At 42.4% G+C, this 17,662-nt stretch overlaps 1 pseudogene across 1 annotated transcript in view; it reads right to left on the bottom strand.

Moving 5' to 3' along the window:
* PRKY (protein kinase Y-linked (pseudogene)) overlaps positions 1 to 17,662 on the bottom strand; it is a 107,576-nt pseudogene that overhangs the window by 37,048 nt on the left and 52,866 nt on the right. Inside the window, exon 4 of the transcript NR_028062.1 lies at positions 3,266 to 3,385. The product of NR_028062.1 is annotated as a protein kinase Y-linked (pseudogene) (transcript). The remainder of the gene's footprint in view (positions 1 to 3,265; positions 3,386 to 17,662) is intronic.

Here is a 17,662-nt window from a genome sequence, read left to right as displayed (position 1 = left end):
TTTAACCTTTTGGGTTTGCCTAGGACGTCATGGGCTCAGGTGCACATGGAGAAGTTTGATTCTATGTGATTTGCAGGCATGTCTCAGCAAAGAGTAAAGGAAAATTCAAAAGACCAGCGGGTAGGTAGGTAGATAGATGTTTGATAGCCAGACAGACAGGTAGAGATAGATGGATAGGTAGGTAGGTAGGTGGATAGATGATTGATAGATGAATAGGTAGATAGATATATAGAAAAGCAGACAGATGAATAGGTAGAGAGATGATTCACAGATGGATAGGTAAGTAGGTAGACAGTTACATAGAAAGATCAATGATTAACAGTTGGATAAACAGAAAGACACATGAATAGGAAGTAGATAGACTGATACATGAATGACGGATGACAGGTAAATATATAGATGATAGGTAGGTAGACAGATAAAAATATCATAGAGATAAAAAGATGGACAGAGAGATGGATATACAAATATCTAAATGAGAGCTTGGACAGATGATAGATAAGGATAAATGGAAAAACAGATGTGTATATACATACATAAGAGGTAGACCATAGAGATAGACAGGGGTGGGTGGGTGGGTAGATGGATGGATGGATGGATGGATAGATGGATGGATGGATGGGTGGACAGACAAATGGATGGATAGATGGTTGGGTGGATAGAGATGGAAAAGGAGTGGGTGGGTGGAAGGATGGATAGATGGATGGATGGATGAATGGGTGGGTGTGTGGATGGATGGATAAGTATACAGACTTAGATAAAAAGATATATGGGTGGATGGATGGATGATAAACAATACACGGATAGCCAGACAATGAAATACAGGTTTTCAAAAGTTCCACTCTCCTCCCTTTGCTTCTCATCGTGGAATTCTTTGATAATGCTTGTTCAACATCATTCAGATCACTAAGCTAGTGTGGGAATTAACGGATTCACTTTTTTCATAAAACACGGCAGAGATAAGCACATGGGGGCAATGACCCCTGTCTGCTCCCCAAACAAAGTCAGCGACTGCCTGGATTTCCTGAGGTGGATGTTAGAATGTCACATGCTCCACACCCTCAGGAACAAGAGCTGGGTGCTCCCCACCACCAGGATCTGGCTTAGACACACCTTCCCAGCAGGAGAATGCCTCTCTTCCTTCCCTCCTTTGTTTCCAACTGAAAGGGAAGTTTTCCCAGTAAAAATCTCTGGTCTTTAACCCCTGCAGGGAATCAGAGAGATGTGAGAGAGATCTGGCTTTTGCAACAACAGAGGGCAGTCAGAGGATATGCTGGTGTCTGTCTTTGAGACTCGGGGGCAAGCAGAAGAAAGAAGGAAACAGGAAAATAGAGAACCTAGGAGGCAGAGTGTCGGCTGTGGCAAAGCGCGGCAGAGGATCCCCCAACCAGTGTTCTGGGCCCTCGCTGGCTGGGCTTCCTCTCGTCTTCATCCTAGAGAAGAGTCTTTCGTGCAGAGCCACACGGTGCAACAGTTCCTCTGACACGTAGCTCACTCCTTCCTACAGGTTCCTATCTGGAAAAGTGCCACGCTACTGAGTCAACTTAGCACTAACAACGGAACGAGGATGACGCCCACGTCCTGGGTTTCCAAGTGTTGCGTGCTTCCTTTGCGTTTCTGGTCTAGTCATAGTGGAGCTGTCTCAGGCATATGCTAGACTTGAACACTCAATCATGCTGACGTCCCAACAAATGACCGACCTCTCTGTTATGTGGTCGCAGGGGGGATGGCACCTCTCCTGACTTCCAAATCTCACCCAACACAGGTATCACAGGCGTTGGAACGAGAGTAACTCCATCCTGAACAGGGGCTGGGTAAAATGAGGCTGAGACCTACTGGGCTGCACTCCCAGACGGTTAGGGCATTCTAAGCCACAGGATGAGACAGGAGGCTGGCACAATATACAGGTCACAAAGACCCTGCTGATAAAACAGGCTGCAGTAAAGCCAGCCAAATGTCATCAAAACCAAGATGGCGACAACAGTGACCTCTGATCATCCTCACGGCTCATTATACATTAATTATAATGCATTAGGTACTAAAAGACACTCCCACCAGGGCCATGACAGTTTACAAATGCCATGACAAGGTCAGGATGTTACCCTGTATGCTCTAAAAAGGGGAGGAACCCTCAGCTCCAGGAATTGCCCACCACTTTCCCGGAAAACTCACGAAAAATCCACCCCTTGTTTAGCATATAGTCAAGAAATAACCACCAAAATAGCCAAACAGCAGCCCTTGGGGCTGCTCTGCCTAATGAGTAACCATACTTTTATTCTTTTACTTTTTACTTTCTTTTTTTTTTGAGATGGAATCTCACTCTGTCACCAGGCTGGAGTGCAGTGGTGCCATCTTGGCTCACTGCAACCTCCGCCTCCCAGGTTCAAGCGATTCTCCTGCCCTAGCTTGCTAAGTAGCTGGCACTACAGGAGCACCCAACCAGGCCCAGCTAAGTGTTTTTAGTAGAGACAGGTTTCACCACATTGGCCAGGATGATCTCAATCTCTTGACTTTGTGATCCGCCCTCTTCGGCCTCCCAAAGTGCTGGGATTACAGGATTACGTTCTTAATAAACTTGCTTTCACTTGATCTATGGACTTTCCCTGAATTCTTTCTTGCAAGAGATCCTACAACCCTCTGTTGGGGTCTGGATCAGGACTCCTTCCTGGTAACATAAGTCAGGGGTTTTAGGAAAGAATACATTCTTGCCTTCCTTGCCAGCTGTTCATCCAGGAACCACTCAATTGTATTTGGCTGATTTACACTGACCCAACCTCTGCCCTCCTGAGCCCTGCAGATTGCTTCAGGAAGCGTCAGTGCAGAAGGTTATTTTTTGTATTTAATTTTTAAATTCTTTCTAAGACTAATCAAGCACAGAAGTGATAAGGGGAGAAAAAGCAGAGTAAGGAGTTCAACTGGTAGCTAACTGTGAATATCAACTGAGATAACTCACTACCTTCAGAGCAGCCCAGAATGTTAATTGTATATTTAAAGAAGATATGGATATTTCAATATAAAAATCTCAATGGGCATGCATGGGTGGTTCCTTCACAAGTTTGGGTTTTTTGCCTCTTATTCACACAAGCTCAATTGCTAATTCACATTGCCAACCTCAGCAGGGCAGCAGATGTGTGTGCAGCCACACTGTGTGTTTGCGACACTCACGTACTGTTTTCAAGGTTACAGAAATGCCGAGTGGACGAATGGGTGGGGGAAGGGGGTGCTGGCCTGTAAGATGAAGATTCTCTACAGAGACTCTACTTACCCCGAAAGCATCTCGAATATCAGGATGCCGAGGGCCCACCAGTCCACGGCCCTTCCGTGGCCCTTGCTCTGAATGACTTCGGGGGCTAGGTACTCGGGTGTTCCACAGAGGGTCCAAGTCCTATATGGGCGACAGAGACAGGCCCCCACAACACTCAGTGGTGCTTGGCTAATGCAGTCACCTTAGAAGCTCTGATTGTTACAATAACTTCGTTGAGTAAAACCACGCTCCCTTTACCGTCTGTGCACATATTTTACTGTGTAAAGACAGTAACATTGTTTTCACTGATTCCTTTCCATAGAAACATTTCTTATCGGGCTTGGAAACTAAGAATTGGTTTTACCATCCTTGCTACTGTTGCTGGTACTGTTACCACTGTTACTCAGAAGCAAAAAGACTCAGACTTTTTTGAGTTATTTTTACCTGTCTTAGTATAAATCATAATGAATAAAATTAATTAAAGGAAAAACAACGAGATCATGTCCTCTGCAGCAGCATGGATGGAGGTGGAGAGGCCATTCCCCTAAGTGGACTCACATCACGCACCAAATACCACATGTTCTCACTTATATGTGGGAGCTAAACACTGGCTATACGCTGACATGGAGAGGGGGAAAAACAGATACCTGGGCCTGCCTGAAGATGGAGGGTGGGAGGAGGATGAGGATGGGAAATCTACGTGTCAGGTATGATGTGTATTACCTGGGTGGCAAAATAATTCGTAAACCAAGTGGCATGCAGTTTACCCATATAACAAACCTGCACATGTACCTCTGAACCTAAAACGAAAGTTCTTAAAGTAAATATATGAATAAGTAAATAAAATTAAATTTTAAAAAATCCTTTATCCTTCAAACAAACAAACAAAAAAGTGTCACTGAAAAGAATAATTCAAGAACTCAGTTAGGCCAGCTCAGTAGCTCATGCCTGTAGTCCCAGCACTTTGGCAGGCCAAGGCAGGTGGATCACCAGGCGTTCAACACCAGCCTGGCCAATATAGCGAAACCTCATCTCTACTAAACATACAAAATTAGCTGGGTGTGGTGATGCATGTCTGTAATCCCACCTACTTGGGAGGCTGAGGCAGGAGAATCAGTTGAACCTGGGAGGCAGACGTTGCAGTAAGCCAAGATCACACCACTGCACTCCAGCCTGAGCGACACAGTGAGACTCTCCCCACCCCCAAAAAAAGTGCAAGAGCAGAGTCCTTACTTGTAATTGAGACTGGATGGTCAGCAGAGCTTATGTATGTGTTCTTTCACTCTCTACCCTCTGCAAAAAAAAAAACATTTCTTGCCCCCGGAAACCAGTGTAAAGACGGAAATACACTTCCTCCCCTGCATGCCATTTTAAAAGTGCCTGCTTTGTGCTCCGAAAACAAAGGGGTGGCCTCAAGCAGGAAGCCAGTACTTCTTACCCTAAGAAAGCTCTGGAATAAAAACTCACTTTCTTTACACTAGACCTTGCTCTTGCTAATTGCACTCTGCAAATGGCAAGGGGCTGAACCTGTGTTTTGGTTACAGAAGCAACTGCTAAACAAAGTCAGGGCAATGTAACAATGACTGTAGCAGAAGCTGGAAGACTCATGGGCTGGAAAGGAGCTGAGTATCAGTAACCTCAAAGAGGGGGCTGTGTCTAGGCCATACTCCATTGGCACTCTACTGCTGGGTAGAATGTCGCTTCGGGCTTTCAGCAATTCAGACCCATAGCACACCTGCAGGCCACATCCACCCTTCCTGACACATGCTTCCTAGCCTGGTGTGTGGGGCCCGTCTGTAGACAGGCAGAAAGAAGCAACACCCTTGGAGGGGAAAAAAATATACATGCTTTGCAAAGGCCCTTCTTTTTTATAATATATTTATACATATGTAATTTTTTTTTTTACATTTTAAAAAATATATACTTACATATTTTTTTGAATGTAAAGAGAACAAAAAGCAAGTTCCATAGAGCCTGGTAATGTACATGTTTATCCACTCTCGAGTTCTTTGCACAATGTTTCAAGCATATGCAAAGCCTATTTTATTCCCAGCACATCTTACCTGAGTCTGCCCTGTTTGCGGTGGTGTGGGCACGTATCTTGGCTTCAGCTCCTCACCTTCCTGCTTGCAGGAACCCACCCAAATTGTTGTTACTGTTATCTTTCCTTCGCTTCTCCACCACATCTCCATACCCACCTCTTTTCCGACAAGAGACTTTTCCACATTAATCTGTAAGCCCTTGGGATAACAACAAACTGGCTGCCATCCAAATTTCAAATTCTGTCGGCCATCCATGAAATAAAAGTACCACAAGGCCAAGCATGGTGATTCACACCTGTAATCTCAATACTTTGGGAGGCTAAGGCAAGAGGATTGCTTGAGGCTAGGAGCCTCAGACTAGCTTGGACAACATAGCAAGACCTCTTCTTTACCAAAAAAAAGACCAAGAACGGTGTCATGCCTGTCATCCCAGCACTTGGGGGGGCAGAGGCAGGTAGATCACCTGAGGTCAGGAGTTTGAGACCAGCCTGGCCAACATGGTGAAACGCTGTCTCTACTAAAAATACAAAAATTAGCAAGGCATGGTGGTGAGCGCCTGTAATCTCAACTACTTGGGAGGGTGAGGCAGGAGAATCACTTGAACCCAGGAGGTGGGGGTTGCAGGGAGCCAAAATTGCACCACTGCACTCCAGCCTGGGTGACAAGAGCGAAATGCCATTTCAAAAAAAAAAGCCAGGCATGCTAACAGGTGTTTGTAGTGTCAGCTAGTTGAGATGGGAGGATCACTTGAGCCCAGGAGTTCAAGGCTACAGGGAGCATGATAGTACTACTGCACTACAGCCTGGATAAGAGAGCAAGACCCTGTCTCAAGGGAAAAAAAAGGAAAAGAAAAAAAGTACTGCAGGCTCTGGGAGATACAAGTCAGGAAAGAAAGAAACAAGACAAGGAGAGAAATTAAGTTACCTTCCCATGGAGGAATGTGGGAAGGGGCTTACTTTATCTGCATGCTAGATCTAAGCATGGAACAAGGATCCCCTTGTGGTCCTATTAAGTGCTTCTCATTCATTAGACTTAAGTCTACAAAAGGAAAGTACAATGCACATTATTTTAGAAACATCCTCTCCCCTGCCCCTCCCAGCGGAATCAACTCCAAGTACACCCTAGTTGATTCAATGCATAACATTTCTGTTACTCTGCAAGACGACTGACTTATTGGCCTACTAATTTTGTATTTTCACCTTGCTAGCCCATCCAAAATGGCCTGAAAGTAGCTAAAAGCATAGAACTTAGCTGATATGAACCCAAAGTAGAAGTGGCCGCAAGTCACCCTATAGGCATTTAGTTGCAACTTCCACTTACCTTTAAAAAGATGAGGCTCTTTTTGGCTCCATGTTAGGGTAAGGACACACACCTAAGGTTGTATAAGTATCCAGGTTCTAACTTGCCTCAGGAGGACTCCTGCCCTGTTAGAATCAATCCTTCCTGCAAAAAGCCCCAATGCCTAGCTGAAAGTACAGAGAGACATGCGCTGCTATGGAGAGATGCTGACTGCGTGAATGAATATGAGATGAGACAGCCTGAGTGCTATGTGGAGACCACTGGTCGGGGCAGTGAATTATCCACTTCCCTGCTCCTATCTCCTTTTGCTCACCTGGCTTTTGGGTAGAAGGAAGGTGACACCTGCTGTTCTCAGTTTTCTCACTGTTCTTAGTTTCACTATGGCCGGCGGGAGGGGAAGGAGGAGGCCATGTTAACGAAGGAGAAACAGAGCTAAGGATAGGATTATCTATGAAGTATAGATATCCAATGACTCCTGTGTTCTTAATGCCCATGCCTTCCGTCACACCTGCACTGGCTGAACTGTGCACTCCCCAAAGTCCTAAACCCCAGTATTTGTGAGTGGGACCTTATGTGCAAACAGGATCTTCGTAGCTGCAATCAAGTTAAGATGAGATCATCCTGGCTTAGGATGGGGAATAATTGCTTAACAGATACAAGTTCTCTTTTGGGATCATGAAAATGTTCTGGAACTAGACAGAGGTGATGGTTGTACAACATGGTAAATGCAATAAATGCCATGAGATTGTGCAACTTAAGATGGTTCAAATGGGCTGGGTACAATGGCTCATGCCTATAATCTCAATGCTTTGGAAGGCCAAGGTAGGATAACTTGAGCCTCAGAGTTCCAGACCAGCCTAGGCAACATAGCAAGACCCTGTCTGTACAAAAATATTTAAAAATTAGCCAGGCATAGTGGCTCACACCTCTAGTCCCAGGTACTCAGGAGGCTGAGGCAACAGGATTGTTTCAGCCCAGGAGTTGGAGGCTGCAGTGAGCCATGATTGCACCACTGCATTCCAGCCTGGCTGACAGAGCAAGACCCTGTTTCAAAAAATATAAAAATGTAAATAAATAAAGATGGTTACTATGGTACATTTTAAGGGTATTTTACCACAATAAAAAGAGAAAAAGAGAGAGAAATGGATGACATCTCCCAGTTCAGTTTCAGTCCAGTCCCTCTTACGTCCTAGCAGGTGGCGTCACCAGCCTCACTTTCTGTCTCTCCTCATGGCTTTACGACATGGTAAGCATGTCACTCAGCTAACAGGGGCACAGTGGGGCTCATGAAGAATATGGACAGCTGATGACAGCTTTTACTCTTGATTACAGAAACGAATGGATTTTTTTCCTTTTTATCAGAAAAGTATGAGAGTGTTTTCTCTACATTTGGTAATGCAGGAAATAGATGTTAGCTCAGTACTCATGATGAAAATACTACACGCCTTTTCTTATAGGATCTTGGGTTACAATCAAGAAGCAGGGTGTGGGGGTTTCTCAGAAAAAGGAAAGTTTTTCATCGTTGTTTTTCTACAGGGACACAATCACAGTTCCTAGAACTGTCTGATGGGAACAAACAGTTGAGAATTTCAGGACTGTCAAGGGAGAAGGTACATGTCCGCAAGCATGGGACAGCTTCCGATGGCCAGCCCAGGCCCTGGGAGGGGTTTCCTAGGCGACTATGGTTCCGAAACACCACTGACCAGCAGGGAGAAGGGTGCCTGTCACCAACCTCGGCACAGTAATACCCACCTCCTAGTATGAATTATAGCAAAATTAAACAGGGCTGAAGGGAAAGTAACAACACTGACTGCAAACAGACTCGACATCTCAGGCCCTCCTTGGCTTCCATTAAATACTCAAAAGTAAGAAGCTAAGGGAAAACGTCCAAAGTAAGTAGAAAGACTTTTCTGATGTTATGAAATATATATAAAATAATTATGTATTTATAAATGTATACATTTAAATTTGAACATATAATCTAAACAATAAATGTGTAACACATACTAATATATAAATTTAAATTTAAAAAATTATAAATATACATTTATAAAATTATATATAGAAAACTATGGATACTGTATAATTATAGCTACATATAACTTTCTAAATATATATTTATATCACAATTTATGAGCATATAAAAGTATTTAGTAGTTTAATTACATATGTAACATTTAATTAAATATAAAGTATCAGTTTATTATATAATTATATTAAATATATATTTTTAAAATATAATTATGTTTAAAAATTACATTGTATTTGTTTCAAATATAATCGGAATATATTATATTAATACATTATGTTATCTTAATTAACACATTACATTAATATATTTATATATTAAATTTACATATGAATATATTTAAATATTTAACATATTAAAGAGATAAATATATTTAAATATATAAATTTAATACAGGATATATTATTTATGTCTAATTAAATATTACAATTATGTATACAGTTATTTGGTAAAATACATCTATCATAAAATTTTCCATTTTAATCATTTTTAAGTGTATGGTTCAGTGGCGGGAAGCCTATCAACCTTGTTGTGCAACCCTCTCTACCATCCATTGGTGGAACTTCATCATTCCAAACAGAAACTCCCTCCTCATTAAACAGTATCTCCCCCTTCCCTGCACCTCCCCAGCCCCTGGCACCCACCATCTACCTTCTGTCCCTATGACTTAGAAGAATCTAGGGCCCCTTTTTTGTCTAGCTTATTTCATCCCACATCATGTTTTGAAGGTTTACCAATGTGGAGTAGAATGTGTCAGAACTATATTCCTTTTCATGGTCAAATAATACTCCACTGCAAAAAGTTCCTGGTCAATTTAAAGTTCCTGGCTCAGGAGTGGGCAAATATTCTCTCTAAGGAGCCAGATGGCAAATACTTTAGGCTTTGTAGATCACATGGTCTCTGTTAGAAATATCCCCCAAGATGTGCCTGTGTTCCAATAAAACTTTATTAACAGACATACAGCAGGGTGGATTTAACCTATGGAAGGCTAATTTTTTTGTTTCTGATGTTTTGCAGAGATGAGGTCTTGCTATGTTGCCCAGGCTAGATTTTTTTCCTAAAAAAATTAGTTTGGTCAGATGTGATAATGCATTGAATTTCTTTTTTAAAGGGAGATATCTATTAGAGATAGGATGGAGTGCATCTGCTTTAAAATAACTCAACAAACAAATGGGCAAAGAGAAAGAAACCAACAAAGTGGCAAAGCTTTGATAACAATCGAAACTGGGTGATGGGACCACAAGGTTTCAATATGAACTACTCTCTATTCCTGTGTGTGTTTGAAAGGATTAAGTAGAAATTTTGAAAGATTAGGTTCAATATTACCCCTAGATGCTAGAAATAAAAACCCAGAGGACAGTAATCAATGTAACATCTGGACTTAAAATGCTACAACAGAAGAACTAGGAAAGAGCTGTTGCACCCAATGCAGTGGCTCACGGATACCATCCTGGCACTTTGGGAAGCCAAGGTGGGAGGATCACTTGAGGCCAGGAGTTCAAGACTATCCTGGTCAATACAGTGAAACCCTGTCTCAAAAGAAACACAAAAACACACACAAAAAAAACAAAAAATTGTTGTAGAGAAATAAAAAACACCAAAAACAAACAAACAAAAAAGAACTGTTGGAGAGAAAGAAATCATCTGTTATAGTTTAAAGACAGGTGTATACAAGTTGAGCATCTTTAATCCAAATCTGAAATCTGAAATGCTCCAAAAGTCAATACTTTTCCAGCACTGACATGATGCTCACAGCTCAAAGGAAATGCTCACTGGAGCACTGGATTTCAAATTTTCGAATTAGGGATGCTCACAGGTAAAGGTAATTCAAATATTCCAAAATCTGAAAAAACCCAAAACCCAAAACAATTCTGGTCTCAAGTATTTCAAATAAGGGATGCTTGTGTTATGCATTTGACTTAGAAAATCATATTAAATGCATCAGTATTTTATTTTGACCATTTCATAAAACCAGAAATAATTCTAGTTTGCCATCAAGTCTTTTAGGGGAGCTATCCAGATAATATATAATAAAGTGTGTGTACAAAATATTTAAAATACAAACATAAGAAATACTGCTGTTAGAAAACAAGAGCCTGACGAAAGCAAGCCACAAAAGAAAAAGAAAACCATCTCAACATATTGACAACCTAGGAAAGCCAAATACCAAGTCACCATGAGCAGTGGTTTAAAATAAGTATTATACGAGTCATTCAGTTAACAGGATAAAGAAAGAAAAGAGAGGAAGAGGGAGAGTAGAGGAAAAGAGAAGAGAGAAAAGAAATAAAAAAAAAAAGGAACAGGGGGAAGGGGAGTAGAGGAGATGGGCAGGGAGGGGAGGGGAGGGGTGGAAGGGAGGGGAGGGGTGGAAGAGAGGGGAGGGGAGGGGCACTGCGCCTCCCACCTGTCATCGCAAAACTTTGGGAGGCCAAGGCGGGAGGACTGCTTCAGCTTAGGAGTTAGAGACCAGCCCTGGCAACATAGTGAAACCCCATCTCCATAAAAAATTAAAAAATTAGCCAGGCACGGTGGTACAGGCTTGTAGTCCCAGCTACTTGGGGGGCTGACACAGGAGAACTGCTTGAACCTGGGAGTTCCAGGCTGCGGTGAGCCATGGTCTCACCACTGCACTCTAGCCTGGGTGACAGAGCAAGACCCTGTCTCAATAAAGAAACAAAAAAGAAAGACAGAGATTCATGTAGTGAGTAGAAAACTTAATCACAACATGCTTAAATGTGTTTTTACCCCATGCTATAAGAGAAAAATGAAAACGTTACCTTTCTGGGAAACGTTCAAAAATGTTATTCAAGACCTGGTGCGTTGGCTCACACCTGTAATCCCAACACTTTGGAAGGTCGAGGTGGGCAGATTACATGAGATCCGGAGTTCAAGACCAGCGTGGGCAACGTGATGAAACCAGGTCTTTACTAAAAATACAAAAATTAGCCAGCTGTGGTGGTACATGCCTATAATCTCAGCTACTTGGGAGGCTGAGAAGGGAGGACTGCTGAAGCCCAGGACGCTGAGGGTGCAGTGAGCTGAGATCCCACCACTGTACTTCAGCCTTGGTGACAGAATAAGGCCCTGTCTCAAAAAAAAAAAAAAATAAAATAATAATAATAATAATAATAAAACATAAAAAATAAAGGCCAGGCGCATTGGCTCACACTTGTAATCCCACCACTTTGGGAGGCTGAGGGGGCAGATCATGAGGTGAGGAGTTTGAGATCAGCCTCACCAACATAGTGAAACCCCAAATCTACTAAAAACACAAAAATTAGCTGGCTGTGGTGGCGCGTGTCTGTAATCCCAGCTGCTCAGGAGGCTGAGGCAGGAGAATCACTTGAACCCCGGAGGCAGAGGTTGCAGTGAGCCAAGATTGCACCACTGCACTCCAGTCTGGGCAACAGAGTAAAACTCCATCTCAAAAATAAAAAAAGTCATTCATGATGAAGCCTCCCTGTTTACTTCCATCTATTCTGTAGTGGTCCACAGTACACTGGTAAATTTCTTTTAAGTTTTATTCAAAAAGTACATGTACTGTTTGAATCCTGAACCAGGGGCAGGGCCATCTATCTGCCCATGAACACAACTTCCTTGGGGCCAGGCCAGAAGAGAAATGTTTTGTTAGAAAGAAGGTCAAAAAAAAAAAAAAAAGGAGAAAAAGCCCACACACAAAAAAGTTACAGAAGCTACACTACCCATACAGAGAAAGATGCAGTTCTTTGTAAAAGCAACCTATCAGTGGCTCATGCCTGTAATCCCAGCACTTTGGGAGGCAGAGATGGGTGGGTCACCTGAGGTCAGGAGTTCAAGACCAGCCTGGCCAACATGGTGAAACCCCGTCTCTACCAAAAATACAAAAATTATTCAAGCATGGTGGTGGGTACCTGTAATCCCAGCTACTTGGGAGTCTGGGGCGGAAGAATTGCTTGAATCCAGGAGGCAGAGCTTGCAGCGAGCTGAGATTGCACTACTGTACTCCAGCCTGGGTGACAGAGCAAGACTCTGTCTCAAAAACAAAAACAAAAAAAGAGAAAGCAATATATCAAGATGGTAATGAAGCATTTTCTAAGATTTTCGCATGTTCATTAAGTAAAATAATTGGTGCACGTTATATAGTAAACCATTTCATCCATTTAATCTTAAATAGACATCATGAATTAACTGGACAGTAACACGGTTTGTCAAATTTATAAACAAGTGAATATATGCAAGATTTTATCTCTGGTTTGTTGAATTAGACTTCCAAATAAAATAACAAAAGAAGAATTTACGGCCAGGCATGGTGGCTCACGCGTATAATCCCAGCACTTTGGAAGGCCAAGGAGGGTGGGTTACTGGAGGTCAGGATTACAAAACCAGCCTGGTCAACATGGTGAAAACCCATCTCTACTAAAAATACAAAATAAGCTGGGCATGGTGGTGTGGGCCTGTATTCCCAGCTACTAAGGAGGCTGAGGCAGGAGAACTGCTTGAACCCGGGGAAGCAGAGGTTGCAGTGAGCCAAGATGGCACCATTGCATTCCAGCCTCAGGTAACAGAGAAAAACTCTGTCTCAAAAAAAAAAAAAAAAAAAAAAAAGGACTACACATTGGATACAGTGTATACTGTTTGGATGGCAAGTACAACAAAATCTCAGAAATCACCACTAAAGAACTTTTCCATGCAACAAAGAAAACAAAAAAAAATTGTTCCCCAAAAGGTATTGAATTAAAATAAAATCAGAAAAAAAAAAAAAAAAAGGTGGGACTTTCATGACGGGAATGGGACTGCTGGCTTTATAAGAAGAGGAAGAGAGACCTGAACTGACACCTTTCCTCTTTCTGCCCATGTCCTGGCTTCGGCCACATTACAGCATAGCAACAAGACCCTCACCAGCTGCAGCCCTTTGACCTTGGACTTCTCAGCCTCCAAAACTGTAAGAAACACACTTATTTTCTTTATAAATAAATTTTTTAAAAAAGAAGACTCTGAGCAGTCAGGCCTGACTGGATTTCCCCACTCAGTCTATTCCCATCAGCTCATACACTTTTTTCCAATCACATTTCTACATGGCTGTCCCTGCTTCACAGAACCTAAGCATAAAAATAGACAGGTTTTTTTTTTGATTTTGGTATCTTTGGGTGTTCATTCTGGTTTTACATGATGCATCATGTAAAACTATGATCAAATAAATTTGTCAGGCTTTTCTCGAAAGGGAGGGGAGGGAGGACCCATTCTCTCTCTCTCTTTAGATGGGGTGTCTCACTATGTCGTCCAGGCTGATTTTGAACTCCTTAGGCTCAAGCGATCCTCCCACCTCAGCATCCCATAGTGCTGGGATTACAGGTGTGAGCCACCATGCCCGACCAGATCCATTATTATTTCTGATGAGAATCGGCACCCTGATATAAATGAACTGTGTGTGTAAAATAAACATGGGATTTCAAAAACTGAGCAGGAAAAATTCATGTAAAATATCTCAATTTTTGTATGAATCGTATGTTGAAATGAAAATATTGTGGATGTACTGAATTACTGAAATAAACTACATTATGAAAATTTTCTCCACCTGTTTGTTTTATATTTTAACACATGACTACACTAGAAAATTTAAAATAACAGATGGGATTTGCGTTGGACTTCTACTGGACAGTGTTGCCCTAGATAAAGAAAAATTTTAGGAGCATACATTACTAAAACTGTCTGGAGGCAGAAAACACCCCTCTTTGTCTTTGTAAATGGAGTGGTTGTGACTGCATGTTATTATCAGTGCTGTGGCGGTGTTAGAAAGAACACAGCCCAATCTCTCCCCAGGTCTGTGTGGGCATCTCTAACACGTCATCCTACCAGGCAATATGGTGGGCACACAGGACAGAGAAAAGAGAATTTGTGTTTCAATAGGGGTACTGACAAAAAAGAAACAGAAACAAATGAACCAACACAAAATAACTCAAAAACAAAACACATACACAGACCAGAATTTTAATCGATGAGATGAAGGAGAGAAAATGCCAGGATAGAGAAGGGAAAGATCCACTCATTCACCTACAGACATATCCCTCCCCCTATTATCTTCTTTGGACTAAAAGTCTAGGCTGGGCCCAGTGACTCAAGCCTGTAATCTCAGCACTTACAGAAGCTGAGGAGTCAGGGGGGATTCCTTGAGCCCAAAAGTTCAAGACCAGACTGGGAAACAGCATAGTGAGAACCTGTTTCCAGTTTTTAGAAAATTAAAAAATAGGCAATGGCTCACGGTTGTAATGTCAGCATTTTGGGAGGCTGAGGTGGGCAGATCACGAGGTCAGGAGATTGAGACCATCCTGGCTAACACGATGAAACCTCACTTCTACTTAAAAAAAAAAAAAAAAAAATACAAAAAATTAGCCAGGCATGGTGGCGGGCACCTGTAGTCCCAGCTACTCAGGAGGCTGAGGCAGGAGAATGGTGTGAACCTGGCAGGCAGAGCTTGCAGTGAGCTGAGATCATGCGACTGCACTCCAGCCTGGGCAAGACAGCGAGACTCCTTCTGCAAAAAAAAAAAAGAAAAAAGAAAAAATAGGCCAAAATAGGCCAGGCACAGTGGTGGCTCAAGTCTGTAATCACAGCACTTTGGAAGGAAAGCCAGCGGGTCACCTCAGATGAGTTCGAGACCAGCCTGGCCAACATGGTGAAACCCCGTCTCTACTAAAAATACAAAAATTAGCCAGGCGTGGTGGCTCACGCCTGTAGTCCCGGCTACTCGGGTGGCTGAGGCAGGAGAATGATGTGAACCCAGGAGGCAGAGGTTGCAGTGAGCTGAGATCACAGAACTGCACTCCAGCCTGGCGACAGAGCAAGATTGTGTCTCAAAAAAGAGGAAAATTTAAAAAACAATAATAATAAAAACATCTAGACTTGCCCTCAAAACACACCTTTAAGGCCAAGTGAAGCCCTTTGTGTAAACAGTATTGTTCTTGGCTTAACTGGGTGGGATTTAAAATATTAACAGTTCTTTTCTCCTACATATTAAACAGTGCATGTTCATTATATAGACAATACACTCTCTAGAGAGCCCAGCACCAAAACAGACACACAAGGCACCACAGTGGCTTTGCAAGGACAATACCTCCCATATGCTGAACACTATACAATTAAACAATTGTCCCAGTTTGGCATAGCATTCTGGACCATTGAGGCGAATTAAGCCAAAAGGCCCTTTACCTCATAAACTATGTAAGATTAGATTTTATAAAATAATTCTTGGCCAGGTGCAGCAGCTCATGTCTGTAATCCCAGGCCGAGGAGGGCAGATCACGAGGTCAGGAATTTGAGAACAGCCTCACCAACATGGTGAAACCCCGTCTCTACTAAAAATACATAAAAATTAGCCGGGCATGGTGGCACGCACCTATCATCCCAGCAACTCAGGAGGCTGAGAGGCAGAAGAATCGCTTGAACCTGGGAGGCAGAGGTTGCAGTGAGCTGAAATCGCACCACTGCACTCCAGCCTGGGCGACAGAGTGAGACTCCATCTAAATAAATAAACAAATAATAAAATGATACTGATTTAACAACTGTCTGGTGCTAAAAATGTTAAATTCAAAAATAGAATTGGCCAGGCACAGTGGCACATGCTTCTAATTCCAGTGCTTTGGGAAGCTGAGGTGGGACGATATCTTGGGGCCAAGAGTTCAAGACCAGCCTGAGCAATAAAGTGAGATCACATCTCTAAAATTAAAAATAAAAAAATTAGCCTGGTATGGTGGCACATGCCTGTAGTCCCAGCTACTTCAGAGGCTGAGGAGGGAGGATCACTTGAGCCGAGGAGTTTGAGGCTGTAGTGAGACAAGATTGTGCAACGGCACTTCAGCTTGGGTGACAGGATGAGACCCTGTCTTGGAAAAAAAAAAAAAAAAGAAACTAAGTATATAGTATTTCACTGCAGTATAGTATAATAGCACAGTTCAGAGTTGAGATCAATTTTCCAACCACAGCGTCTTTGGAAGGATGTAAATGTTCAGAATTACAAACAACTTGTTCAGATATAAAGAGGAGGTACCCTGAAAAATTGTGTTGGGTAACTGCAAAACAGACCTAATACTGAGGATGCCTGCAGCATGTTTACACGCCTGTAATCCTAGCACTTTGGGTGACCAAGGTGGGCAGATAACCTGAGGTCAGGACTTCAAGAGCAGCTTGGCCAACATGGAGAAACCACATCGCTACTAAAAATACAAAAATTAGCCCGGCGCGGTTGCGGGCGCCTGTAATCCCAGATACTCAGGAGACTGAGGCAGGAGAATCACCTAAACGCCCCAGGGGGAAGTTGCAGTGAGCTCACTGCACTGAACTTCAGCCTAGGCAACACAACGAGACTCAGTTTCAAAATAAAAAACTGATTCCAAGAAAACAAAAATAAGGTATAGTCACACACACACACACACACACACACACACACACAGACACACACACAAACACACGGCTACAATGTGGCAATTTCTGACTGGTAAGCTTACAATATACACAAAGTCCATTTTTTTCCCCTCGTGGTTGTCATAGAAAAGTATAAAAAGCTTTTTATTTCATAATATAGCAGGAAAAATAATGTAAAATTATATATAATAAAAATAACATTTCTCTTTTTTTTTTTTTTTTGCTTTTATCAACCTCTTTAATTAATGAGGATGGTGTCAAAATCTTGACAGGAACACATCTTGCTTTTTTTTTTTTTTTTTGAGACGGAGCCTCACTCTGTCACCCAGGCTGGAGAGCAGTGGTGCAATCACAGCTCACCACAGCCTCAACCTGCGAGGCTCAAATTATCCTGCCACCTCAGCCTCCCAAATAGCTAGGACTATAGTTGTATCTGGCTCATTTTTTGTAGAGAGGGAGTCTTGCTATGTTACCCAAGCTGGTCTTGAACTCCTGGGATCAAGCGATCCTCCTGCCTTGGCCTCCCAAAATGCTGGAATCATCACGCCCAACCTGTCTTGCTTTTGGTCACATCTCATTTCTCACTACATCTGTCTTCGGTCTTTCATGGTAGTTTACATACCTTACTCAAATTCACTCTTCATGTCATTA

This window comes from Homo sapiens, chromosome Y, assembly GCF_000001405.40.
Source record: "Homo sapiens chromosome Y, GRCh38.p14 Primary Assembly".
NCBI lineage: Eukaryota > Metazoa > Chordata > Mammalia > Primates > Hominidae > Homo > Homo sapiens.
The sequence above is the reverse complement of the archived record's forward strand: the minus strand, read 5'-3'. Positions and strand labels throughout refer to the sequence as shown.